Source organism: Homo sapiens, chromosome 10, assembly GCF_000001405.40.
Source record: "Homo sapiens chromosome 10, GRCh38.p14 Primary Assembly".
Classification (NCBI taxonomy): Eukaryota; Metazoa; Chordata; class Mammalia; order Primates; family Hominidae; genus Homo; species Homo sapiens.
In genome coordinates, this window is record NC_000010.11 from 70,514,797 (window position 1) to 70,540,164 (window position 25,368).

At 53.1% G+C, this 25,368-nt stretch overlaps 1 protein-coding gene across 11 annotated transcripts in view, besides 5 other annotated features; it reads left to right on the forward strand.

Annotated features, from left to right (window-relative positions):
* PALD1 (phosphatase domain containing paladin 1) overlaps positions 1-25,368 on the forward strand; it is a 109,966-nt gene that overhangs the window by 56,312 nt on the left and 28,286 nt on the right. For 9 of the 11 annotated variants that reach the window (XM_011539638.3, XM_047425057.1, XM_047425055.1 and 6 more), the window contains 14 exons: positions 11,127-11,340; positions 14,433-14,535; positions 15,093-15,272; positions 16,494-16,658; positions 17,825-17,985; positions 18,199-18,274; positions 19,126-19,277; positions 19,629-19,728; positions 19,943-20,047; positions 23,015-23,110; positions 23,484-23,612; positions 24,096-24,212; positions 24,296-24,451; positions 24,784-24,966. In XM_011539638.3, the coding sequence (XP_011537940.1) occupies positions 11,156-11,340; positions 14,433-14,535; positions 15,093-15,272; positions 16,494-16,658; positions 17,825-17,985; positions 18,199-18,274; positions 19,126-19,277; positions 19,629-19,728; positions 19,943-20,047; positions 23,015-23,110; positions 23,484-23,612; positions 24,096-24,212; positions 24,296-24,451; positions 24,784-24,966 (1,908 nt within the window). In that variant the 5' untranslated portion in view covers positions 11,127-11,155. Of the gene's footprint in view, positions 1-8,337; positions 8,414-11,126; positions 11,341-14,432; positions 14,536-15,092; positions 15,273-16,493; positions 16,659-17,824; positions 17,986-18,198; positions 18,275-19,125; positions 19,278-19,628; positions 19,729-19,942; positions 20,048-23,014; positions 23,111-23,483; positions 23,613-24,095; positions 24,213-24,295; positions 24,452-24,783; positions 24,967-25,368 lie in introns of those variants that run through there. The other 2 variants (XM_017016072.2, XR_945675.3) reach the window with 2 other exon arrangements.
* Positions 3,957-4,251: an enhancer, noted in NCBI's record as "tiled region #14353; HepG2 Activating non-DNase unmatched - State 22:ReprW, and K562 Activating non-DNase unmatched - State 20:ReprD". NCBI's record gives its function as "activates a minimal TATA promoter and a strong SV40 promoter by Sharpr-MPRA in HepG2 and K562 cells {active_cell/tissue: HepG2 | K562}" and the evidence as "EXISTENCE:reporter gene assay evidence [ECO:0000049][PMID:27701403]".
* Positions 13,941-14,858: an enhancer, noted in NCBI's record as "NANOG-H3K4me1 hESC enhancer chr10:72288493-72289410 (GRCh37/hg19 assembly coordinates)". NCBI's record gives its function as "activates a minimal SCP1, AML or CMV promoter by ChIP-STARR-seq in naive H9 embryonic stem cells {active_cell/tissue: H9 hESC(naive)}" and the evidence as "EXISTENCE:reporter gene assay evidence [ECO:0000049][PMID:30033119]".
* Positions 22,797-23,481: an enhancer, noted in NCBI's record as "H3K4me1 hESC enhancer chr10:72297349-72298033 (GRCh37/hg19 assembly coordinates)". NCBI's record gives its function as "activates a minimal SCP1, AML or CMV promoter by ChIP-STARR-seq in primed H9 embryonic stem cells {active_cell/tissue: H9 hESC(primed)}" and the evidence as "EXISTENCE:reporter gene assay evidence [ECO:0000049][PMID:30033119]".
* Positions 22,887-23,083: a silencer, noted in NCBI's record as "fragment chr10:72297439-72297635 (GRCh37/hg19 assembly coordinates)". NCBI's record gives its function as "represses an EF-1alpha promoter that drives an FKBP-Casp9 reporter gene in an ReSE screen in phorbol 12-myristate 13-acetate-treated (for megakaryocytic differentiation) K562 erythroleukemia cells {active_cell/tissue: K562(+PMA)}" and the evidence as "EXISTENCE:reporter gene assay evidence [ECO:0000049][PMID:32094911]".
* Positions 23,482-24,167: an enhancer, noted in NCBI's record as "H3K27ac-H3K4me1 hESC enhancer chr10:72298034-72298719 (GRCh37/hg19 assembly coordinates)". NCBI's record gives its function as "activates a minimal SCP1, AML or CMV promoter by ChIP-STARR-seq in primed H9 embryonic stem cells {active_cell/tissue: H9 hESC(primed)}" and the evidence as "EXISTENCE:reporter gene assay evidence [ECO:0000049][PMID:30033119]".

Consider the following 25,368-nt stretch of genomic DNA (forward strand, 5'->3'; position numbering starts at 1 on the left):
GACACGGGGCCGGAGGAGCATGGGGTGCTTTGAGGTGGGTGGGGTGAGGGTTCTCTGGGTGAAGAGTTGTGACCTTTGCCCAACTTGGAAACTTATACAAATAACTAAACTTAAAAAGAAAATGTTCCTAGGGTAATCATGTTCATTGTAAGATGTTTAGAAGCGATGGATGAGCAAAACAGAAGAAAATAAATATCACCCTGCAGCTCACTACTCAGGAATAAGTACCATTGCTGTTGAAGTAGATGGCCCCCAGTCTTTGGTGCCTACTTGTTGAGAACCAGCCTTGGCCCATCATCAGTAACCAGACAGGGTGGGGAGGTAAAGTGATGGAGAGACTCTGCCCTGCCCTCTTGGATCAGATTCAAAAGGGAAGGAGATAGGTCAGTCAGGTGCTAGTGGCCCAAAGCTGGTGGGGGCAGAGGGTTGGAGAGAACTGGGCTGACTCAGGCTGGGCACCTGTTCTTCCAGGGGTGGAGGACTTGTGCGAGGGCCCAGAACAGAGCTGGGGCCTCCTGGTTCTTGAGGAAGGCCAAGAGCAGATGGGAACCTATCCCGAATGGCTTACCAGACAAAGCAGAATGAGGAGAGTGATGTGATGATCGTGGTTGTTAAGGAGGGTGGCTGCTGTGGCCCAGCCCAGCCTGGCTCTGCCCTGCTGGCTGCCTTGGTTGAGAGCCAGGGACTGCTGGCCATTCACAGATGGCGCCTGGGCGAGGCCCCTGGTTCTAGTCCTGGTCCTGAAGGTTCACGTCTGTGGCAGCTGGCAGTTGCTGGGAGTTCAGTGCAGGGTCAGCCATGGTGTGGGGGGATGAGGTCAGGGCAGATGAGGAGTTGGAGCCCTCGCTGTGCTGTGTGTCGGGCCATCCAGGTGTTGCTCTGCACACATTCACTGATTTCATCTTTATACGGTCCAGCAGGGGAGGTACCGGTGGTCCTCAGTTTACAGTTGGGGAAACAGTTTGGGGAAATCAAGCCATGAACCCAAGATAATGTGACTAATGCATGATAGAAGTGGGGTTCAGCTGGTGTCCTGCCCAGAGCCCACGATTCACAGAGCCTAAGCCCTGTGTCCCCAGCCAGGGGTCAGGATGTGAAGAGTTGCCACTCCTGCAAGCCCTCGCTTTTCTTTTTGTTCAATGGGAATGAAAACACCAACTTTCTGGGGCTTTTGCATGCCTCTAACAGATATTTATTAAACTCTTACCTGCCACAGGCACTGGGCTCAGCCCTGAGTACCCTGAGCTGAGCAAGAGGTGTCCTCAGGGTCACAGAGGACTTAAGACTCAGAGCAGTGCCACCCAGTAGAAATCTCACAGGAGCCACGTGTGGCACTTTATTTTTATTTTTTTGAGATGGAGTCTCGTTCTGTTGCCCAGGCTGGAGTGCAGTGGTGCGATCTCAGCTCATTGCAACCTCTGCCTTCTGGGTTCCAGCGATCCTCCTGCCTCAGCCTCCCGAATAGCTGGGACTACAGGCGTGCAACCACCACGCCTGGCTAATTTTTGTATTTTTATAAAAAAGGCACAGTTTTTCCATGTTGGTCAGGCTGGTCTTGAATTCCTGACCTCAAGTGATCCGCCCACCTCAGCCTCTTACAGGTGTGAGCTATCGCTCCCAGCCTTGTGTGGCACTTTAAACAGCTGCCTTCAAATACAGATGAATGAGTGAACTTAGTTTTAATAACATATATTATTTAACTCAGTATATCAAAAGATTATCATTTTGAGATGTAATCAACATAAACTATGTTTTGGTTCTTAGTTTTTTATTTTTTGAGACAGAGTCTCACTCTTGTCCAGGCTGGAGTGCAGTAGTTCGATCATGGTTCACTGTAGCCTTGACCTCCTGGGCTCAAGCGATCCTCCTGTCTCAGTCTTCTAAGTTGCTGCTACTACAGGCATGCACCACCACACCTGGCCATTTTTTTTTCTTTCTATCTTTGGCAGAGACAGCGTTTCTGTGTTGCCCAGGCTGGTCTCAAATTCCTGGGCTCAAGCAATCCTCCTGACTCGACCTCTCAATGTGCTATTATGGACATAAGCCACTGTGCCCAGCCCCAATATACATTGTTAATGAGATATTTTACTGTATTTTTTTTTTTGTAGCTAGTCTTCAGAATCCGGTATGTATGTTACACTTGCAGCATGTCCTAGTGTGGACCAGCCAGATTTCCAGGGCTCAGTGATCACAAGGCACACAGCCCAGCTTCAGAGGCCAATGGGCCAGTGTCCCCCAAACACCTAGAATCACCTTACCTTTATTGGCCAGGCCCTTTTCTGAGGTCTTTACCCACAAGATATTATTTAACTTTCGCAACTACCCCATGAAGGAGGTGCTACTGTTGTTCCCATTTCACAGAAGTGGCAGCAGAGGTCCAGAGAGGTTATGGGGCCAAGGTTGCACAGCTGATGAATGACGGAGCTCAGTGGGAAGGTGTCACGAGAGGAGAACATTGTGGGACAAAGGATGGGGACACCTCTTGTTTTTAACAGATTTACTGAGGTAGCGTTCATACAATGAAATTACCCCTTTTTAAGTGTTCATTTTTTTTTTTTTTTTTGAGATGGAGTCTTGCTCTGTCACCCAGGCTGGAGTGCAGTGGTGCAATCTCAGCTCACTGCAGCCTCCGTCTCCTGGGTTCAAGCGATCCTCCTGCCTCAGCCTCCTGAGAAGCCGGGACTACAGGCATGTGCCAGTACGCCTGGCAAATTTTTGTGTATTTAGTGGAGATGGGGTTTTACCATGTTGACCAGGCTGGTCTTGAACTCCTGACCTCAGGTGATCCGCTCACCTCGGCTTTCCAAAGTTTTGGGATTACAGGCGTGAGCCACCATACCTGGCCTAAGTGTTCAGTTTGATCAGCATTGGCAAATGTACGCCGTTGTGTGGCCACCACATTCAGTATCCCCAGCAGTTCCATCCCCTAAAATGTGCCCTCGTGCAGTTGAGTCCTTCCTCCACCGACCTGCTGTCTGCCCCTGCAGTTTTCACGGGGTTATACAGTGTAAGTGTCTGGGGCTTGGCTTGTTTCTCTCGGTAATAGTTTTGAGGTTCACCCATATTGTTGTGTCTATCTGTAGTCTGCTCCTTTTTGGGGTTGTTTTTTTTATTTTTATTTTTTGAGATGGAGTTTCACTCTTGTTGCCCAGGCTGGAGTGCAATGGCGCAATCTCGGCTTACTGCAACCTCTGCCTCCCAGGTTCAAGCAATTCTCCTGCCTCAGCTTCCCGAGTAACTGGGATTACAGGCATGCGCCATCACGCCTGGCTAATTTTGTATTTTTAGTAGAGATGGGGTTTCTCGATGTTGGTCAGGCTGGTCTCGAACTCCCAACCTCAGGTGATCCGCCCGCCTCGGCCTCCAAAGTGCTGGGATTACAGGCGAGAGCCACCACTCCCGGCCGCTGTGTGGTATATTATGGTGTGGACCTATCACATTGCGTTCATCTGTTCACCAGTTGATGGACATTAAGTTGGGCTCAATGTTTGCTGTTATGAATATGCTGCTGTGTACAAGTCTTTTTCTGCACGTATTTGCATTTCTCCTGGTTGGGTACCTAAGAGTGGAATTGCCGGGTCATATGAGAAGGGTATGTCTCCATTAGTAAGAAATTACAAAACTGTCTTCCAGGTGGCTGTATGCTTTCACTGCTCGCCAGCAGTGTATGTGAGTTCCAGTTACTCATATCTTCCTCAGAGCTCGGTATCGTCAGTCTTTTAAATTTGTCATTCTAGTGCAGGACCCTGATGACATGATCCCGAACATCTATTTAATGTGCTTATTTGGCATCTGTATGTATCTTCAAATCTTTTGCCCATCTTTACATTTTAAAAAAATTGACTTGATATTGACTTGTTAAGAGTTGGCACCTCTTTTTTGGGTCAGGATTAAATGAGATAATATACGTCAAACGCCTTGCAGTCAGAGATTGACCCATTGGCCCTCCTGGTGTACCCCTCTCTGCGCTCAGGGTCTCTGGCTCTCTCAGGTGGCTGTTCAAACCCCACCTCACCCCAGTGAGTCCCCGACCCCTGCCCCCTGGCAGACACATGAGTCACACACTCTCGACCAACACAGTGACTGACTAGCATAATTCCATACTGACACATCTCTGTGTGTTCACAACACAGTCTTCCTGTTTGCCTCAGGCCAGAGGCAGTGCAGCCCAGCCAGGGAGCCTTGGGTCTGGAGAAAGGAGCCCTGAGTCCCAATTCTGTCCTTGTGGCCACTTGCTGTGTGAATGGGGGCATATCACTCTCCTGTTCTGTGCCTCAGTTGCCTCATCTGTGGAAAGAGAGCATTTTACTATGTTTTATTTTTTGTAAATGAGACAGAGTCTCGCTATGTTGCCCAGGCTGGTCTTGAACTCTTGGGCTCAAGCAGTCTGCCCACCTCAGCCTCCCAAAGTAGTGGGATTACAGGTGTGAGCTACTGTGCCTGGCCTCTAATATTTCAGTCCATTCAGGCTGCTACGACAAAACGCCATGAACTGGGTATCTTAAAAACAACGGAAATTTATGTTTCATGGTTCTAGAGGCTGAGAAGTCCAGGACTAAGGCATTGATTCATTATCTGATACAGGCCCACTTTTTCATTGATCTTGCCTTCTTGCCGTATCCTCAGATGGTGTGACCAGGCAGCTCTCTGGGGTCCCTATTATAAGGGCACTGATCCCATTCCTGAGGGTTCTGCCCTCATGAATTAATTACCCCCTCTCCCCCAAAGCCTCCACCTCCTAATACCATGACCTTGGGGATTAGGATTTCTTTCTTTCTTTTTTTTTTTTTTTTTGTGAGACGAAGTCTGGCTCTGTCGCCCAGGCTAGAGTGCAGTGGCGCGATCTCAACTCACCGCAACTTCTGCCTCCCAGATTCGAGTGATTCTCCTGCCTTACCCTCCCGAGTAGCTGGGATTACAGGTGTGTGCTACCACGCCGGGCTAATTTTTGTATTTTTAGTAGAGACGGGGTTTCGCCATGTTGGCCAGGCTGGTCTCGAACTCCTGACTTCAGGTGATCTGCCCGCCTCAGCCTCCCGAAGTGCTGGGATTATAGGTGTGAGCCACTGTGCCCAGCCTGGGATTAGGATTTTAACATATGAGTTTTTAGGGGCAAAACATTCAGACCACAACAGCTAGATGAACTTCAGGGATGTGGCCAGCTCTGAATCTGCTTTTTGGGGGATACAGGGCAGGGGGTCTTGAGTGGTTAGGCCTCAGCAGCGATAGGGTCTTGCAGCAACAGCCATTTGTGGAGATTGCTGTGGTCTCAGCATCTCTAAGGTGGGACTTGGGATTGTGCCAGAGGGTCTGGGATTCCGGCCGGCGGGGAGGGCAGGAAAAAGGGACGGGGTGGGCGTAGTGGCTGGGGTCAGTGGCAGACAGCCACCTTTCTGCTGCAGTCTGAGAAGCCAGACTCTATTTTGGAAAAGCTACCAGTCATCTTTTTCAAGCTCACTGGGCTTGACATGCTGGGAGGTTGTGGCTGCTGCACCCTGGAAGGACAAAGAAGGTGGGGGTTTGTAAACTTTAGATTCGAGGTGGGGAAACCAAGATTGGAATGGTGATGGTTCATTTCCCCCAGAACCATACACAAAGCAATGGACTTCTACTCCCAAGATATTTAGGAATCAGCTCTTGAACCTCTTGCCTATTGTTCCTACCCCAGGGCCCAGAATGGGCATCTCTAGCTTCCCCTGGGCTTGAATACTGCCATTGACAAAAGGCTCACCACTCTGGCAGGTTGGGTGAGTATGTTGGAGCATCAGGCAGCTAGTGGGTGAGTTGGAGCTAATGTCCCACCTTTTGAAGCTTGAGTCCTCTTAAGGAAATGAGGTGACCTCTCTGCCAAGGACTCCATAGGTCAGTTTCTTTTCTTTTCTTTCTTTCTTTTTTTTTTTTTTTTTTTTTTTGCGGTGGAGTGTTGCTCTTGTTGCCCAGGCTGGAGTGCAATGGTGTGATCTCGGCTCACTGCAATCTCTGCCTTCTGGGTTTAAGCGACTCTCCTGCCTCAGCCTCCCAAGTAGCTGGGATTACAGGCGCCTGCCAGCACACCCGGCTAATTTTTGTATTTTTAGTAGAGATAGGGTTTTGCCATGTTGGCCAAGCTGGTCTCGAATTCCTGACCTTAGATGATCCGCCCGCCTCAGCCTCCCAAAATGCTGGGATTACAGGCGTGAGCCACCGCGCCCGGCCAGTTTCTTTTCTGACTGCCATGAGAGGCAGGAGAATGGCATGTCTGTGTGCCAGACTTTCTCAAATGCCATTAGAGCTGCAGCCTGGATGATTCTGTGGCTTTTTAGCTGGATACTGAGGGCTTCCATGGGTGAGATGGGTCCTGGAGTCCCTGACTGTGTATTGGAAGCTGTGTATCTCTCTAGGAGGCCTCGTCAGGCAGAGAGTGGAGTGGATGGGGTTGGGAGTTGTTCAGATCCAAGAGGGAAGGGGACAGTGTGAGGTGCTTTTGCTGCTAGGGTCAGCTCTAAAGAGGCAGGGAGGAAGCTGAGGGGCAGTTGTCAACTGCTGCCCCTTCCCAAAGACCAGCTGTCCTCATCTGAAAATGGACACAATGAGGCCTCATCCTTATAGGGTTCTGGGGATCGATATGACATAAAGCATCCAGCAAGGTGCCCAGCGCTTCATGAGGGCTTTGGAATATTAATAACAGAAGCAGAGAAGATGGAAGAGGGCCTGTGTTTGTGGGTGGGGAATGTTCTTCCCTTAAAGCAAGGTTTCCTCTTTTTTCTTTTTTTTCGAGATGGAGTCTTGCTCTGTCGCCCAGGCTGAAGTGCAGTGGCATGATCTCGGCTCACTGCAACCTCTGCCTCCTGGGTTCAAGGATTCTCCTGCCTCAGCCTCCCGAGTAGCTGGGATTCCAGGAGCCCGCCACCATGCCCGGCTAATTTTTTTTTATTTTTAGTAGAGACGGGGTTTCACCATGTTGGCGAGGCTGGTCTTGAACTCCTAACCTCAAGTGATCTGCCCGCTTTGGCCTTCCAAAGTGCTAGGATTACAGGCATGAAGCAAGCGCAGCTGGTTTCCTCTTTTTTTTTGTGCCAAGGACCCCCAAGCAGAAGCCCATGGACTCCTTCTCAGAATGCTTTTAAATACATAAAATAGGTGGGGTTACAAAGGAAATATGTTTCATTGAGAGAACTGTCAAAATACTTAAACACATTGCGTTTAAATAATAAACAGTAAACAAATGGTAATATTTGTCCTTAGGTATTATTGCACTAATAAGATAACCCATTAGGCAAATTAAGGTTACATTTTACTTTTGAAGAGACTCATCAGTGACAAGGCTGCAGTGGCTCAGCTTCAATGGGGGTGTCACACTGGGGAGTGTCTTTGAGGGAAAGGCTTGTGCCCCGCATGGTGGACACCCAGGCCGTTGTGATTTTTTTTTTGAGGTTTCCCAAGTATTGCAAATCCCACTTTGCAAATGTAATTGCAGCTTCTTTGCAGCTAGTTTTATAAGGCAAGGTCAGGCTTCTGTCTAGGATTGCTAGGATTCTCCAAGCTTGTTGAGTTCACCTGAATCATGAGGACCCATAGTGGGAGTGGGGAGTGGTTTAAGAGCACCAGGTGCAGAATTGCCCGAAGCTGGCCAGGTGCGTCAGCCCAGCGTCTGTAGGCAGGGGACCGGGGGCACACGTGGTCCCTGGTGGGTCTGATAATGACTGTTGTTTAGAAGAGTGGTATCGTAAGCGACATTTCCAGATCCCACTGCAATGTGGCGTGAAAATGGCTGTGAGCTCCGTGGGCACTGCCTCACACTCCATTGTCACTGCAGGAGCAGCCCTCACTCATGACCAAAGGAGAGTTAGAAGGTAGGAAATAAAGGCATAAACAATTCACCAACTATGCAGGGACATCTCATCCCAACCCACTTCCCCCTGTCTTTCCCTAGCAGAGGTTTGAGCACTAGGCACCCCACCTGCACCCCTACCTTTGCTGACCCCTGTCCCTGGCAGGTGACCGCCGTGCTGTGACCACTGGGACCACTAATCTGAGGCGCCAGATCCCCCTGAAGCTGGAAGGGGCTTTCAGACCATCCCAACCCTCACTATCATTTTACAGTGGCTGTGGACACTGAGGCCCAGAGAGGGGAAGGAAGTGGTCCAAGGCCCTTCAGTGTGTGGCCAGCAGGAGGAAGGCCCCACGCTGGTGAGGTTCTTTCTGGCAGAGTTGAGAGAGATTTCAGGGTGAGAGCTACAGTGTGACAAGCCTGGGGTTGCACCCCCCTCTAGATATTTTGGAGGTGGGCTTGATTTTCAAAGGACATTGCTCTCCCACCCCTAACTGCCTGTTCTACCCCTGCGGCCTGCAGCTGTGAACATCTGTGTCGTCTCTGGGCCACCCTTGCAGGGCACCAGCTGTAGCCTGTCATTGCCTCTGGAGCCCATGAGAGGTGAGGGTGGCTGGAACTGGAGCTGGGGGCAGGCAGGGGAGGAGAGGCGGAGGTGTCAGGCCGAGCCCAGCCCTGTGGGGACGGGCCCTGATGCCTGGCCTTGGCCTGAAGCTGTGGCCAGCTGTTGCCTTCTGCAGACCCTTCTGTGTCCTGCCCATCCTCTCCCTCGGGAGAGCTGCCCTGAGCCCTTGTTCTCCAGGCTGTTCCCACACATGTCTTTTTGGCCCAGGTTGCTGGGAGGGGTCTGGGAAAGTTTGATGAGGGCCGTTTGGGGCCTGCCAGGGCTGGTGAGGTGGAGAGAAGGTTCCGCTCTGCCCTTGGCCAGTGAGGGGGCCACTGCAGAGCTCCCTCCCCTCTTTGAGCTGCCTATTTTTCTGTTTGGGAACATAGAGGCTCATTCCCTCCACCCTTGCCAAAAAGAGAGAGAAAGAGAGGGAGAAATTAGGGTGTGGAGCACCATGGAGATGGGGCTCTTTTAAACACAAGGTGTGTGTGTTAACGAAGCTGTCACGAGGCTCCTGGGAGTTTTCAAGGGTGACAGGCGTGAGTGGGGTTGGGGGTGGGAGGATCTTTCCAGACTGGAGAGGGATGGGTGGCTGTTTGAGAAGGTTCTGGGAGGGCCGATGAGTCTGGAGTTGTTCTCTCTGAGAGTCCCTGAATGGGAGGTGGCTCTAGGGTAGGAGCCTGAGTGCATGGTCCAGAGGAGGCCTGGGGAACACCCACCTGGGGATCAGAGCTCTGGTTCAGGACCTGGGGAAGAAAGGACAGTGAGCTCAGCCTTCAGACTGACCTGACCTCAGCTTCATGCTGACCCCATGACCCTACCTTCCACTTCTTGAGGTGATGCTGCTGCTTATGGGAGGGCTGGGGGGAGTGTGGATGGTTGGGAGCAGACAGTCCCTACTGATGTGGAGCAGCTTGTGCCTGGTTGAGGGCAGCTGGGAAGGTTGCCATGCTCTAAGGATGCTTATTGTCCAAGGATGCTTATTGTCCTGGTGCTTCTGCAGAGTCGAGGGGTTGGGGGCTGGCAGGGCAGCTTGCCCCGATCCCCAGTCCTGGACCATCAGTATGTGGGGCCAGTGGCCACGGAGCTCCCAGAAAGTTCCTTGAGCCTCTGTCCCTCCTGTCTGTCGCCCTCTGTCCATGTGGAATTCCCAGCCCCCTCCCTTCTCTGCAGCTCTGGCTCTCGGACCCCTGAGCCACTCCTTCCCCATCCCTTGACCAGCCCTTAAAAGATGTCCCAGCCATCTTTTGTAGCCATTCCTTTATTCTTTAAATAGGTTTTAACCATATTACCCAGTGTTTGGAGGAGAAAAATTAGAAAATACAGATAAGCAAAAAAGAGAAAATAAAAATCGTCCATAATCTCATCACTTGCAGATAACTCATGCTAGCATCCTGGTGTCTGTCCCTTGGACTCATCCTGATGCCCTTTCGTGAGTTAAGGTGGGGCTGTGGCCTGCACTTCCTATGCAACCTGCTCTGTCCTAGATGTCTTTCCATGTCAGCCAATGATATTTTTAATGGCTGTTTAACATTCTACCCTATAGATGTCTCATTATTTATTCAGCAAATCCTCTGCTGTGGGCTAGAGGTTGTTTCCAATGTTGTGTGATTATAAACAACACCCCAGTCAACAAAACATCGTGGTACACCACTTTGTGTACACATCCTCAAGTATTTCCTTAGGAGGGAGCCTTGCAGGAGGACTGCCGAATCCCCGAGGGTGCCCGGCGTTCTTCAAGTGGGGTGGGAGCTGTGCCTGTTGAGGATATAGATGTTGATTCAGATTTTTATTTTTTATTTTTTTGAGATAGAGTCTCACTCTGTCACCTAGGCTGGAGTGGAGTGGCTCGATCTCTGTTCACTGCAACCTTTACTTCCCGGGTTCAAGCGATTCTCGTGCCTCAGCCTCCTGAGTAGCTGGGATTATAGGTGCATGCCACCATGCCTGGCTAATTTTGTATTTTTTTTTTTTTTTAAGTAGAGATGGGGTTTCACCATGTTGGCCAGGATGGTCTCGAACTCCTGGTCTCAAGCGATCTGCCTGCCTCAGCCTCCCAAAGTGCTGGGATTATAGGCATGAGCCACTGCACCCGGCCACCAATTCAGATATTGATGTTGATGTTGAGTTTGGGGCCTGGTATTTTCTTTGAACACTTGATCTGCTGATAGCTCACCTAATCTGGACTTCCCTGGCCTTATTTTATGACATTCGTGGCTATATGTCCTTCTGCATCCGTTCCCATCCAAAGCCTTCAAATCCAAGTCTGACTTCCTTCTTTGCATCTGTCTGCCCCTGGTTCTTTCTCGGTGACATTTCCTGCTTCTCCTAGCCTGAAAGGTCTGGCCTTTGTCTATACCACCTGAAATAGTCACTTTGAACTCTAGGCCCTGACCTGCTGTGGATGATTCACCTCTTTCTGTCTCATTTTCACAAGAGGAGTGTAAACTAAAGGGGTTGGGGGCTGCATCTTTATGTCTGTCTATGTCCGTGACTCCCCCAAAGCATCGGTAAAGGGCCGGGTATAGAGCAGGCACTCAGTGAGCATGTGATCTTCTGGGCCCCACGGTGTAGGAGGCAAGCCTGCCTCTGTCTCCAGCTGCAGAGTGAGCTGCCTTTCTCTGTATGGTGGAGGGCGAGAGGTGGGTCAGGTCTCCTGCTGTGGATTTTCCCATCCCCTCCTTCACTGCACACCCTCTTATCCTACAGGTCTGGGGTCCTGAGGCTGCTGGCAGACTATGGGTACAACGGCCAGCACAGCCCAGCAGACGGTCTCGGCAGGCACCCCATTTGAGGGCCTACAGGGCAGTGGCACGATGGACAGTCGGCACTCCGTCAGCATCCACTCCTTCCAGAGCACTAGCTTGCATAACAGCAAGGCCAAGTCCATCATCCCCAACAAGGTGGCCCCTGTTGTGATCACGTGAGTGGCAGGGGGAGTGTGCCCATGTCCCTGGGAGACATGATGGGCGGGGGGACCTGCTTGGGGGTGCAGTGGCATACAGCACTTAACGCTTGCAGACTGGATTCGGGTTCATAGATGATGACACTGAGGCCCAGGGAGATGAAGCAGTTCATTGGGAGTCACACTGCATGCACCTGGCAGAGCTGGTCTCTGTCATGGGTCTCTGAGCCCATGCTACTCACCACGTCCACAGTGTGGGGGAATGCGGAGGAGGAGGCATGGCTGGGGGACCCCCCTTTTGAAAATAATTTTTGGCTTAACATTTTCAAAAGAAGTTTATGTACTTGATGGATGAAATTGGGATTTCTTTTTCACAGACAGTAATTATGGCTCAAAACTGAGGCTAACACCAGGCTGTTGAAGGGCCTTGGGCTGAAGGAGCTGGAAGCTGCTAGTTGGCTGTCCTAATGATGCCCCTCAGGGCTTGTTCTGGCAGCATGTTCTGGTGTTCTGAGATCTGTACATACTGTGTGCATCCAGAGGAAGAGGGTTATGATGGGTCCCTGAAACCCTGTCTGCCCTGTGGGGCTTGGAGGAAGGGGTGGGTGCTGGAGAGCCATGCTGGGGAGGACAGGAAGATGGAGGGGATGTTGGATCCATCTCCTGGTGCGTTGAGAAGCCTTGTACTTTCCACACCTCTGCCCACTGTGCTCCCCTCCTCTGGGTCTTCCAGGATGCAGGAAGCAGGAGATGACTAGCTAGGAATTAAATGTGTTCCGCACATCAAAGTTTGGCAAAGACTTAGCAGATGGGTCCTTCTGTATAAGGAAACCTGAGGGGTGGGAATGATAAACCCTGCCTGCCAGCTCTGGGGCCTGCCAGGAAAACCATCATCATAATCAATTCTTGGGCTTCTGGTAAGGGGAGGAAAAGGGATGTCATATAAAAGAGACTTGATATGGAGTCTCTGTACTGACAAATGACAAAGGTGGGTTTGGGGCCTGAAGGTAGCACGAAGACTCGTGCCCCAGGCCTGGTTCTGCCCTTGCTTTGTTCTGTGACCTTGCACAAGTTCCTTTCCCTCTCTGGGCCTCAGTTTCCTTATCAACATAAGCAGAGATGACATTCAGAATATTTAACCAAGTGATGTGTCTCAGAACAGTTGCTGACCAGCCGTAAAAATCCTGTACACAGGGCTGTGCTTAGGGCCTGGAGCCAGCCATGAGCACAGCACTTTTTGGGGGTGTAGAATGTTTGAAGTGGAAGGGACCTCTAGAGATCATCCAATAGAGGGGTCAGCAAACTACATCCTGCAGGCCCAATGTGGCCTGTTTTCTTCAAATAAAGTTTTATTGGAATGTTGACACTTCCTTTCACTTACATAGTATCTGTGGATGCTTAGGGCCTCAATGGCAGAATTGAGTAGTTGCAACAGGCGCTGTATGGCCCACAAAGCAAGTATTTACTGTGTGGCCCTTTCCAGAAAAGGAATGGCAACCCGTGATCTAATGCATTTTAGTTCAGATGTGAAAACTGGGTTTCAGGGAGGTAGAGAGATTTGCTCCCCATGGGTCACGTGGTAACAAGGAGGCAGAGCTGGAGTGGGAACCCAGGCCTCTTCTAGTGCTCCTCTGCCATACCCATTCCACCCCCTGCCTTTCCAAAAGGCACTTTTTTTAAAATTTAAGTTCTAGGGTACATGTGCACAACGTGCATGTCCATCACATATGCACACATGTGCCATGTTGGTGTGCCGCACCCACCAACCCACCATCCACGTCAGGCATATCTCCCAATGCCATCCCTCCCCCGTCCCCCCACCCCACAACAGGCCCTGGTATGTGATGCTTCCCTTCCCGTGTCCAAGTGTTCTCATTGTTCAGTTCCCACCTATGAGTGAGAACATGCGGTGTTTGGTTTTTTGTCCTTGCGATGGTTTGCTGAGAATGATGGTTTCCACCTTCATCCATGTCCCTACAAAGGACGTGAATTCATCATTTTTTATGGCTACATAGTATTCCATGGTGTATATGAAGGCACTTCTTTTGTCAAGAGGACCTAACATCAGATCATTAACTCTGGGAGGCTCTGTCATATTCATTGTTATCATCAGCACTGGAGCTGTTGTGTCTTGAGGGCACAGTAAATCTTGTTTGAGTGTTTGGACTTTTACCTGGTTTAGCATCTACAGAAATCTTGATTTTTATCTGTGGGTTTTGTTTGAAATAGCCCTGTGTGGAGGTAGAACTACAATTATATTAATAAATGCTTACTGTGCCCCAGGCACTGGGCTAAGCACTTACAATCATTAGCACATTTAATTCTCAGGACAGTCTTGGGGGTAGGAATTCCTGGAAATGAGCTCCTTGTCCAAAGCTATAGAGTTACCAAGCGGTGGGTGGAGTTGGGCTTCATGCCCCAAGCCTGCGTTCTAAACCACCTCACTGTGTGTGGAGTTAGCAGTGTAGGGACTGTCCCTCCAATACAATCTGATGGAGGGACCATCCAGTGATGTTGTCTTCTTCAGGGTACAGGCTAGGCCGCTGTCATAAAGTAACCCAGATAAGATGCCTTCCTCAGGACGAAGCTCATCTCTTACATGCAAGTCCACGAGGACATCCAGGCTGGGATGGCTGCTCCGTGATCATCCAGGCCCCTTCTCCCTCATTGCTCCAACATCATCAACATGTGGCTTCCGTCTTATGATCTAAGATGTTCTACCTCTGCCATCACTTCTGGATTTTAGCCAGGCAGAAGGGGAGAAGACAAAATAGAAGGCACCTCTTCTCTTTGGGAATGGCCTGGAATTTGCACGCACATCACTTTTCCTCACATCATTGGCCAGAACTTAAATCATGTGACCACAATGAGTTGCAAGGGAGGCTGGGAAATGTAGTCTTCAGCTGGGTGGCTCAGTCCTCAGTCACAGCCCTGGGGCTGTCGTGTTGAGGAAGAAGGGAAGAGTGGATATTGAGGGACAATGGGCAGTCTCTGCCACAAATCGTAGCCACAGGGGTTTTCCTGCGGTGGGCTCTGTGAGGGTGGAGCTGGCCTTGACCAAGGAGGTTGCTTGACTCAGTTTCCATTCTGCCCCCCCCCCCCCCCCCCAGGTACAACTGCAAGGAGGAGTTCCAGATCCATGATGAGCTGCTCAAGGCTCATTACACGTTGGGCCGGCTCTCGGACAACACCCCTGAGCACTACCTGGTGCAAGTGAGCTCAGGCCTTACCCTGCCAGCCCGCCTGCTGCCTCCCACCCCTATCTCTCATGAATTCCCTCCCTCACCTCCCTCTGGCCCTCCCCAACTTTCCCCGTCTCTCTGCCCATTTTCAGAACGGGCAGGGCCCTAGGATGGAGCTAGCACCGTGATCCTCTGGTTGATTCCTGGTGCCCCAGCTCTGCCTTCCTACAAAAGCCCCTTCCAGGGGAGCTCCTACCCTAGAGCCAGCTTTGCCTCTGGAGAGCCTCTCCCTGCTCTTTCCTCCAGGCCTGGCTCAGACGTCACCTCCCACATGAAGCCCTCTCTGATGTCCCCTCTGGAGGAGTTGTCTTTCCTTTTCCTACACTTTATGATACCCTTCCCCAGATCACAGAGAGTTATATATTTTGTCTGTTTTTTCCATGAACTGCAGGCAACTTGAGGGCAGGATCATGTTCTTTTTGCCCCTATTTCCCCCCTCCCTGTCCCCTGGAGCCCAGGACAGAGCTCCATCTGCAGAAAATACCCCTGAGCCATCTGAGTGACCTTCCTGTGGCTCTCCCCTGCCAGGGCCGCTACTTCCTGGTGCGGGATGTCACTGAGAAGATGGATGTGCTGGGCACCGTGGGAAGCTGTGGGGCCCCCAACTTCCGGCAGGTGCAGGGTGGGCTCACTGTGTTCGGCATGGGACAGCCCAGCCTCTCAGGGTTCAGGCGGGTCCTCCAGAAACTCCAGAAGGACGGACATAGGGTAAGTATGCCACTTCCCAGGCAGAAGCCAGGTCCCCAAAGCCAGGGAGAGGGGCACCTTGGAGGGGCAGCTTTAGAGGCGCTGGAGGGGCCTGCTGCATGCTGGAGAGGTGGGGTAGTGGCCTGGACCAGGCCCTGCCTGCCAGGATGGTCACTGCTGTTGGTCTGGTTGGGAAATTCTGGTGAATGTTGATTGCATGTCCTGAGTGGATGGCGGGGCACAAGGTCAGAAGCCTTCATAGACCCTACTTGGGAGCCTCAGAGGAAGCAGGGGGCGTGACCGGGTGACAGGAGGAGCCAGCTCATAATTTGACAGCTTGCTGAATGGTGATCACAGCTAACACTTAAGTCCTGATGTTAGCCCTGTGATGGAGTGGCAGTTTGTCTCCCATTTTGCAGAGGAGGAAACAGGCCCAGAGAAGCTAAGTGACTTGCTCAAGGTCACACAGCTCATGAGTGGTACCCCAAGACCCAAACCCAGGCAGCTGAATTCCCAAGTGCCTGCTTTCAAGGACTGTTCTTACCTGTCGGATGTTGAGGCAGGGTTTTGCGTGTCCCTAGGACACAGGCTGAGGGTCTGCTGCGATTGTAGGCTTCTTGAGTGCAGCTGCATCTGAATTGACCCCGGAGTTAAGGTGGAAAGGCTTTGAGTGAGACAGAATGGGGTGGGGGTGTGGGCTGTGTGCAGGTCCCATCTTCCCATCTTGATGATAAGTTCCTCAAGGGGACCATCTGCCCACACATTTCCCTCTGCCTGTATGGTGCTCAGTGAATGAATGATTGCGTGGTCATGGGGCATTCATTTCTTCAGCTGATGTTCATCAAACACCTGATTTATCCAGGACACCATGCTAGGACACCATGCTAGGAATTATGGGTACATGAAAATGACCAGGACATGATTTTGCCTACGAGGAACCTGTGGTCCATTAAGGGGGAAAAGATGCATTCATTGATAGTACAAAGCAGGAATTAACGCCAAGAGATTCATATGAAGGACTCTTGACCCTGACAGGAGGCAGGGGTCACTGCTGACTGGGAGGGTCACAGGGAGGTAGCATTTGGACTGAGCTTTGTTTCTTGGGTAGGATTCAGGTTGCAGGGATGGTGTGGGGTGCAGGAGGAAGGAACAGCTTGGGCAGAGGCCCTGAGGTGGGGCAGTGGTGCAGGTGTCTGTGCGGGATCATGATGATGGCTTCCTTCCCCCTCGGGCTCCTGGCAGGAGTGTGTCATCTTCTGTGTGCGGGAGGAACCTGTGCTTTTCCTGCGTGCAGATGAGGACTTTGTGTCCTACACACCTCGAGACAAGCAGAACCTTCATGAGAACCTCCAGGGCCTTGGACCCGGGGTCCGGGTGGAGAGCCTGGAGCTGGCCATCCGGAAAGAGGTGAGGACCAGTGCGGTGTGCGGGAGACCCCAGCCCACAGCCCAGCTTTGCAGATGCTCTTTTTGGGGCCAGCTCACCTGCTCTTACTGGCCCGTGTTCCCCCACTGTTGTGCCCTGCTTGGGTGAGTGGCTGGCTGCAAGGCTGACTCACGGGCAGCCAGAGGAAGGACTTCCTATTCTAGCTCTCTTTGCCTCTGCCCCTTTCCCACCCTGCTTGTCTCCTTGATGCTCAATGTCCTTATTTAGAAAGGGGTCTGGTGGGCCGGGTGCAGTGGCTTATACCTGTAATTCCAGCACTTTGGGAGGCCGAGGTGGGCAGGAGTTCAAGACCAGCCTGACCAACGTGGTGAAACTGTGTCTCTACTAAAAATACAAAAAATTAGCTGGACGTGCTTGCGCATGCCTATAATCCTAGCTACTCGGGAGGCTGAGGCAGGAGAATTGCTTGAACCTGGGAGGCGGAGGTTGCAGTGAGCCGAGATCACACTACTGCACTCCAGCCTGGGCTACAGAGTGAAACTCTTTCTAAAAAAAAAAAAAGAAAAAGAAAAAGAAAGGGTTCTAGGTGAGTGAAAAGAGCGCTAGACCAGAAGGACCAAGGCTGCAGTTCAACGCTTTGAGAGCCACGAGCCTCTGAGTCAGTTCCCTCAGTGGGTCTGTGGGCCTGTTTCAGTATCCTCTGTCCTCCTCCTCCTCCATAACACAGAGGCTTGTGGAGGCCTCTGAGGCAGCTGACATACCATGAAGGTGTGTGAATAGAGTGTGGGGTCCCAGTGTCCCCAGAAACTTCCAGGTCAGGAACCGAGGCCATGCCGGCGCCCAGCTCTTTGCCTCTCCCATCCCCTCCAGGCCTCCTGTGTGCTCTGCTCCCCTCGGCTCCAGCTCCCAGCTGACCACACCTCCCCCGTCCTGGCACTGGTGGCTTTGTGAATTCCTGCACCCACTGGGCAGAGCCCTCCTGCCTTGCCCCTGTGTAGGCACCCCGATTCCTTCAGAACTCCCAGGAATGGCATAGAGAGCACTTCTGGCTGTGTAGTTCCCTCATGGGGGGCAGAAGCCTGCCTGTGGCCTCTGCATGGTCTGGTCACTCCAGAGCTCAGCCAGGACACTCAGGGAGGGTCTTGAAGTTCAGGCCATGGCCCTCTGACCCCCACACCTCCCTCTAGATCCACGACTTTGCCCAGCTGAGCGAGAACACATACCATGTGTACCATAACACCGAGGACCTGTGGGGGGAGCCCCATGCTGTGGCCATCCATGGTGAGGACGACTTGCATGTGACGGAGGAGGTGTACAAGCGGCCCCTCTTCCTGCAGCCCACCTACAGGTACCACAGGGCCACCCCCAGCCCTGGCCATGGGTGCTCCAGGTCCTGCTCTCCAGCTGCAGCCTCAGTTTCACCATCTGCAGGTTGGGCGGAGTCCCCCACACCCATGTCTCCCACAGTGGGGCCCATTTCCAAACAGTGCCCGGGAATAGGGGGTGAGGGGGATTCCCAGAGTGGGTGCCTGCCTGATGGCTGCTCTCCCTCACCTGGCAGGTACCACCGCCTGCCCCTGCCCGAGCAAGGGAGTCCCCTGGAGGCCCAGTTGGACGCCTTTGTCAGTGTTCTCCGGGTAACTGGGGCACGGGCGCGCATGGGGGAGGAGTCTTGAGAGTCGTCCCCATGGAGGTGCTCAGGGTGGGCACAGCCTCTCGCCTTCCTCAGAGGAAGGCTTCATTCTGTGTTGTGTATGTGAGCATGTTAGGGTGGACGTGTGTTGGTGTCTGTCTCTGTATATGTCTGTGTGTGTCAGCGCCTTTGTGTGTGTCTGTGGGGAGTGTGTGTACATGTTTATGTGTCTCTCTGTGTGTCTGTGTGTTCCTGTCTGTGTGTCTCTGTGTGGGGATACATGTGTTTCTGTGTGTGTATGTGTCTGTGTGTGTATGTGTTTGTGTGTGTGTACCTGTATGTAGGTGTGTGTTTGTGCATTCTCTTATGGCAGAGTCCATCACTGACCGCTGGCCCAGCTGCTGGCCGTGGCTGGGCTGCCAACTTGCTGTGTGGTCCCGGACTAATCACCTCACCTCTCTAGACCTCAGTTCCTCCTTTCTTTAGTGGAGCTAACGACTCTTGCCCTATAGACTGTTCAGCTGACATTTCCTGAGTCCTGGCGGAGTTTCTCTCCAGCCCCCTTCAGGGCATTATCTTATTTCACTGGCATCTTGCAGAAGGTGTTAATACTGGCCTGGTGCCCTCTGAGTCGCTCTCACTTCCAGTTCTTTGAGCTCCTCCAAGGCCTGGGGAGGGAGCAGGTGGAGCTGATCAGGCTGTGGCTTTGGCAGAAGAGGCCAAGACACCTATTGGAGCCCACTTTGCTGCAGACTGTGGGGCAGGGTGGGCTGATGTCATGCTTTTCTCCCTGCTCAGGCCTCAGCCCAGGGTTTCCTGGTCTCACTGGGGCCTGATCCTCATGGTCTTTCCCAGGAGACCCCCAGCCTGCTGCAGCTCCGTGATGCCCACGGGCCTCCCCCAGCCCTCGTCTTCAGCTGCCAGATGGGCGTGGGCAGGACCAACCTGGGCATGGTCCTGGGCACCCTCATCCTGCTTCACCGCAGTGGGACCACCTCCCAGCCAGAGTGAGTGGCCCGGGGCCCAGCGTCCTGAAGGGCTGTGGGGCCGAGGAGGGGACAGGCTGCCCCACAGTGTGGGGACATGTCTAGGAGCCCAGAGCCAGAGCTGGAAATTTGGCATCTGGGGTTCATTTCCTGGTTTGCCACGAGACTTGCTGGGAGACCTGGAGAAAGTCACCTGACCTTTCTGGGCCTCAGTTTCCCTAGTTGGGGAAATGTCCCCTGCTTCCCACAATGTGATTCAGAAGGAACCTGTAGTCTGGTGTCCCCCAGCGGCCATATGAGTGGAGACAGCAGGCGGGTGGCCGTGTGAGACCTTTGGAAGAGCCTGCTAATGTACTGACCCTGCCTCGACAGGGCTGCCCCCACGCAGGCCAAGCCCCTGCCTATGGAGCAGTTCCAGGTGATCCAGAGCTTTCTCCGCATGGTGCCCCAGGGAAGGAGGATGGTGGAAGAGGTGAGTGAGGGACAGCAAAGGGCTGGGGCAGGGGTGGTGGAGGGGACGGTCACTCCTCTCACTGGTCGGGGCTCTCTTCCTTCCCGATACCCTCCCCTACCTCTCTGCCAATCTTTTTCTTTCCCTCTCTTTTCTCTTTTCTCCTGCCGTTCTGCCTTGACCCTGCTCCCCACCCCCCCACCTCCCTCTTACTTGCCTTGGTCTCTGGCACCAGGTGGACAGAGCCATCACTGCCTGTGCCGAGTTGCATGACCTGAAAGAAGTGGTCTTGGAAAACCAGAAGAAGTTAGAAGGTATCCGACCGGAGAGCCCAGCCCAGGTGAGGCATGGAAGGACGTGTGAGCACTCTGCTTCTCTGTGAGCCCTGCAGCCTGATTTCATTAGGCATGTTGACTGGTTTCTTTCAGACTGACTTTTTCTGGCTGCTGCGTCTCCCATGAGAAGAGCAGTTTTCAGAGGAAGGGGAGATAGGGGCTCTGGGCCCACAGGAAGGACAAGGAAGAGGGGAAGTTTACTTTTCCTGACCAGGTCCCTTCAGCTGCAGAATAAACAGGACAGAGGAAGGGGCTGCTGGCCAGGGCTGCAGGGGCCCCTGGACTCAGATACTCCCCAGGCCACTCATGGCCTCCCACTAGTAAAACTCCTGGTGTTTCTTTGGGAAGACTGGGGTTTGGTCCAGCTGGCTGCTTCTGAAAGACTTATGGGCTCTAGGCTGTCTCAGCAGACCCTGTCCCCATGCCTTAGCGAAAGGAGGTGGGCTTGATAGTGTTTATATCATACAGCGCATGGAAAGAATCTAAAGCCACAGAGGCAGCTTCTTCTTTTTTCTTGTTTCTTCTTCTCTTCCTCCTCCTCCTTCTCCTCCCCCCTCTTTTTCCTCACCCTCTTCCTCCTTCCCCCTTCCTCCTCCCCCCGCTTCCTCCTTCCCCCTCTTCCTCTTCCCCACTTTTCCTCCTCTCCCCTTCCTTCTCCCTCTCTTCCTCTTTCTCCGCCTCTTCCTCCTTCCTCCTCTTCTTTCCTCCTCCTCCTTCCTCCTCCTTCTCTTCCTTCCTCCTCCTTCTTCCTCCTTCCTTCTCCTTCCTCTTCCTCCTTCTCCTCCTTCTTCTCGTCTTCCTCCTCCCTCCTCCCTTCCTTCTCCTCCTCCTTCTCCTTTCTTCTCCTTTTTCTTCTTCTCTTCCTCCTCCTGCTTCTCCTTCAATAGGGTCTTGCTCTGTTGCCCAGGCTGGAGCGCAGTGGTGCAGTCATAGCTCACTGCAACCTCGAACTCCTAGACTCAAGGGATTCGTCCACCTCAACCTCCTGAGTATCTGGGACTACAGGTGCATGTCACCACACCTTACTTTTTTAGAGATGGGGTGTTGCTATGTTGCCCAGGCTGGTCTTCAACTCCTGGCCTCAAGCAGTCCTCCTGCCTTGGCCTCCCAAAACACTGGGTCTTTTTCTTTCTAAAAATATTTTTAAAAGGCTGGGCACGGTGGCTCACACCTGTAATCCCAGCACTTTGGGAGGCTGAGGCAGATGGATCACTTGAAATCAGGAGTTTGAGACCCGACTGGCTAACATGGTGAAATCCTGTCTCCACAGAAAACACAGAAATTAGCTGGGTGTGGTGGCACGCGTAGTACCAACTACCAGGGAGCTGGTGTGTGCCCAGTAGTACCAGCTATCAGGGAGGCTGAGGCAGGAGGATCTTGTGAGCCCAGGAGTTCCAGGCTGCAGTGGGCTATGATCGTACCACTGCACTCTAGGCTGAGCAACAGAGCAAGACCCTGTCTCAAAAAACAAAACAAAACGAACCCAAACCAAAAAAAATCCCATACAGTACTTAGAGCCTGCCACAGAGTCCCTGGAATGTCACCCCTGCTGTGATTTACTAAACAGTCCCCCTCTTCTTGGACAATTGAGTTGCTCCAGTTCCCCATCAGTGTAAATACTTCTTTGTTGAGCAGCTTCATGAAAATGAAGGCTGTTGTGTATTTAGGATTCTTTCTCCCCTTAGTCTAGATTGGGCATCAGCAAACTACGGCTTAGACCAAATCCAGCCTGCCGCCTGTCTTTGTAAATGTGTTACTGGAACACAGTCTTGCTGTTCTCTACTCTGCTGGCCCACGACTGCTCTTATGCTGGGATGGCAGAGTTCAGTAGCTGCAGCAGGGACCCTGAAGCCTGAAAGTCTAGAGTATTTACCGTCTGGCCCTTTATGGAAAAAGTTTGCCGACACCTGGTGGAGATTCCCAAAGATGGGATTAAATTTCACCAAAGGGCGTGGCCCTTCTTTAGGGCCTCTGTGAATCTCACTTGAATCTCACTTGCCCTCCAAAAGGTACTGACCCAGCAGGAGAACCTGGAGATCCGAGGGCCCTTGGGGTTCTCTCGGACAACCCCCCATGCAGAGGAAGCTGGGCTGGGGTCAGGAGACTTGGGGAATCTGGCTCTGTTTGCTGTCAGCTGTGTGACTTTAAGGAAGTTACCTCATTTCTCTGAATCTCCGTTTCCCTCTGTAAATTAGGAGTAATTAGGATGGCTCCCCTGGAGCACTGCTGTGAGGGTCTTTGTATTTGTATTTTCTTGTGGAGAGGCTCCAGTTCTTTTTTTTTTTTTGAGACAGGGTCTCACTTTGTCATCTGGGCTGGAGTGCAACGGTGAGATCATAGCTCACTGGAGCCTCAACTTCCCAGGCTCAAGCGATTCTCCCACCTCAGCCTCACGAGTGGCTGGGACTACAGGCATGTGCCACCATGCCTAATTTTTGTATTTTTTTATAGAGATGGGGTTTTGCCATGTTGCCCAGCTTGTTTTGCACTCCTGAGCTGAAGCGATCTGGCTGTCTCAGCCTCCCAACGTGCTGGGACCACAGGCGTGAGCCACCGCACCCAGCCAGGTTCCAGTTCTTAAGGGAGGGCCTCTGGCTCGGGGGTGTTCACACACTTGGCTTCCTCAACACAGAGGGTGCACAACCCTGACCTGTTGGGTGTCGCTGGAGCTAAGTGAGGGAGCCCCTGCCTGTCTTGGCGCTGGGAGCCTGCTTGGGGAGACCAGCCCTGCACCTAGAACCACAGTGCCTGGTGTGGTCACCCACATATCTCCCCTGACCGCAGATAACCACAGCATCTGGGATAGGGTGAGACACTTAGAAGAACTTACAGCCTGGCAGAACTGTGTCATGAAGGGAGGGAAAGACTGTCTTCTGGGGAGTTCCAAGGCTTAACTCCTGCCCTTGCAGGGATGGGGACAGGGACAAGACTGCCTGAGGAGTCTGTCCTTAACACCCTGTCCTCTCTCTCAGGGAAGCGGCAGCCGACACAGCGTCTGGCAGAGGGCGCTGTGGAGCCTGGAGCGATACTTCTACCTGATCCTGTTTAACTACTACCTTCATGAGCAGGTGGGGCCTGGGAGGAGCAGACCCACGTCCCCTCCTCCTGGGCCTCTCCCAGCCTCCCCACCGCAGTGACTGGCTTGCTGTGGAGGGAGACCCCCCAAGGAACCGGGGAGGGAAGGGAGGCCAGGAGAGACCCAGATTCGGGAGTAGTCCCTGAGCAGCTGGGCATAGGGAGGCCCCACCTCTTTCCACCGGGCCCTTGTCTCTGTCCTTAACCAGGACACCAGACGTCCAGGTCTTCTCTCAGCCACTCCCTTGTCCCTGCTCTGGGCCATGTTGGATATCTTTTGGGGCTTCCCCTGCCATGGTGTGGGCAGGGAGGGTTCAGGATGGCCCTGTGCCCCTGAATTCCTCGTCTCTCTGCCTCGGGCTGCAGTACCCGCTGGCCTTTGCCCTCAGTTTCAGCCGCTGGCTGTGTGCCCACCCTGAGCTGTACCGCCTGCCCGTGACGCTGAGCTCAGCAGGCCCTGTGGCTCCGAGGGACCTCATCGCCAGGGGCTCCCTAGTGAGTATGACTGGCAGTCGGAGAAGTGGGCATGGCTGTGTACTGGCCCTGGCCCCTAAACACTGGATTCCTGTAGGGTTGGGGTAAGCATTGCCCTTGCAGGAGGTGAAGAAGAGAGGCTGTGGGTGTTGGGATCCTCTTGTGAACAGAATGGGGTCATGCTTAGGCCCCAGCAAGCATTTGCAGCTTTGGCAGCTGTTCTGGTACCTTCTCCTCAGTCTCAAACCCAAGAGCTCTGGGCAGGGTTCTATGATCTTTGCCTCCAGCTTCTTCTCTTTGAGCCTCAGCTTCCTGGTCCAGAGAGTGGGCACCATTGCACTTCTTCTTGCCAGGGCCGGGGGAAGCTCCAAGTGTGCAGGAGTGCTTTGTAAACTGTGAAGCTCGGGTTCCACCCCACCCCCCGTCTGCCTTGGGCCAGGTCCTGACCCTTTCTGCGGCTACAGTCGGCTGCTGTGGGTCCCAGGCTTGGTGCTCTCCCCACAGCGGGAGGACGATCTGGTCTCCCCGGACGCGCTCAGCACTGTCAGAGAGATGGATGTGGCCAACTTCCGGCGGGTGCCCCGCATGCCCATCTACGGCACGGCCCAGCCCAGCGCCAAGGTGACCGGCCCTCAGGGCCTGGGTCCCCCAGTGGGTTTGGGGAGGGAGGGCTGAGCACTCACTGCCGGCCCTCCTGTGCCCAGGCCCTGGGGAGCATCCTGGCCTACCTGACGGACGCCAAGAGGAGGCTGCGGAAGGTTGTCTGGGTGAGCCTTCGGGAGGAGGCCGTGTTGGAGTGTGACGGGCACACCTACAGCCTGCGGTGGCCTGGGCCCCCTGTGGCTCCTGACCAGCTGGAGGTGAGGCCCCCTGCCCTCTAGGCACCCCTGCCTCCGAGGCTTCTGGGGAGTGGCCTGGGAGGGTCTTCAGAAGGCCTCACACTCCCGCAGACAGATGGAGAATCTGAGGCCCCGGGAGGAGCAGTGTCAGGGAGTGGCCAACTCAGGATTCCCACTAAAGTGCTCTGCTAACCTGCTTGGCTTTGGGGGGTGGCTGTGACCCCTGAGGCTTGGGGGGGTCAGGGATGGGACTGGAAGCCAGGGCCAGGCCTGGCCATGGCAGGCTGTGGCCTTTCAGGGCTAGCCTAGAGCCTGCCCCAGTGGCCTGTGTCCTCCCTCCTGCCCTTGCCCAGACCCTGGAGGCCCAGCTGAAGGCCCATCTAAGCGAGCCTCCCCCAGGCAAGGAGGGCCCCCTGACCTACAGGTTCCAGACCTGCCTTACCATGCAGGAGGTCTTCAGCCAGCACCGCAGGGCCTGTCCTGGCCTCACCTACCACCGCATCCCCATGCCGGACTTCTGTGCCCCCCGAGAGGAGGTGAGGGTGCTGCTCAGGCTGAGGCCTCTGGGGAGGGACAGGAGGCCTCCCTGTCTCCCCTCTGGTCTGGGCTCTGGGAGAATGAAACGACCCCAGCTTCTCTACGGGGCCCGGGAATGGTCTCACGAGGTTTTCCGATTTGGCCCAAGTGGTTTATTCACATTCCTTCCAAGCTTTGTGTGTGTGTACGTGTGTTTATTATGTGTTATAGGGTATATGTGTGTGTATTGTTATAGGTGTGTGTGTATTGGAGTGTGTATTCTGTTACGTATGTGCATATGTGTTATAAGATGTGTGTACATGTGTTTATTATGTTGTAGGGTGTATGTGTGTGTATTGTGTTATGGGTGTGTGTTATAGGTGTGTGTGTGTTATCGGGGTGTGTGTGTATTCTGTTACAGG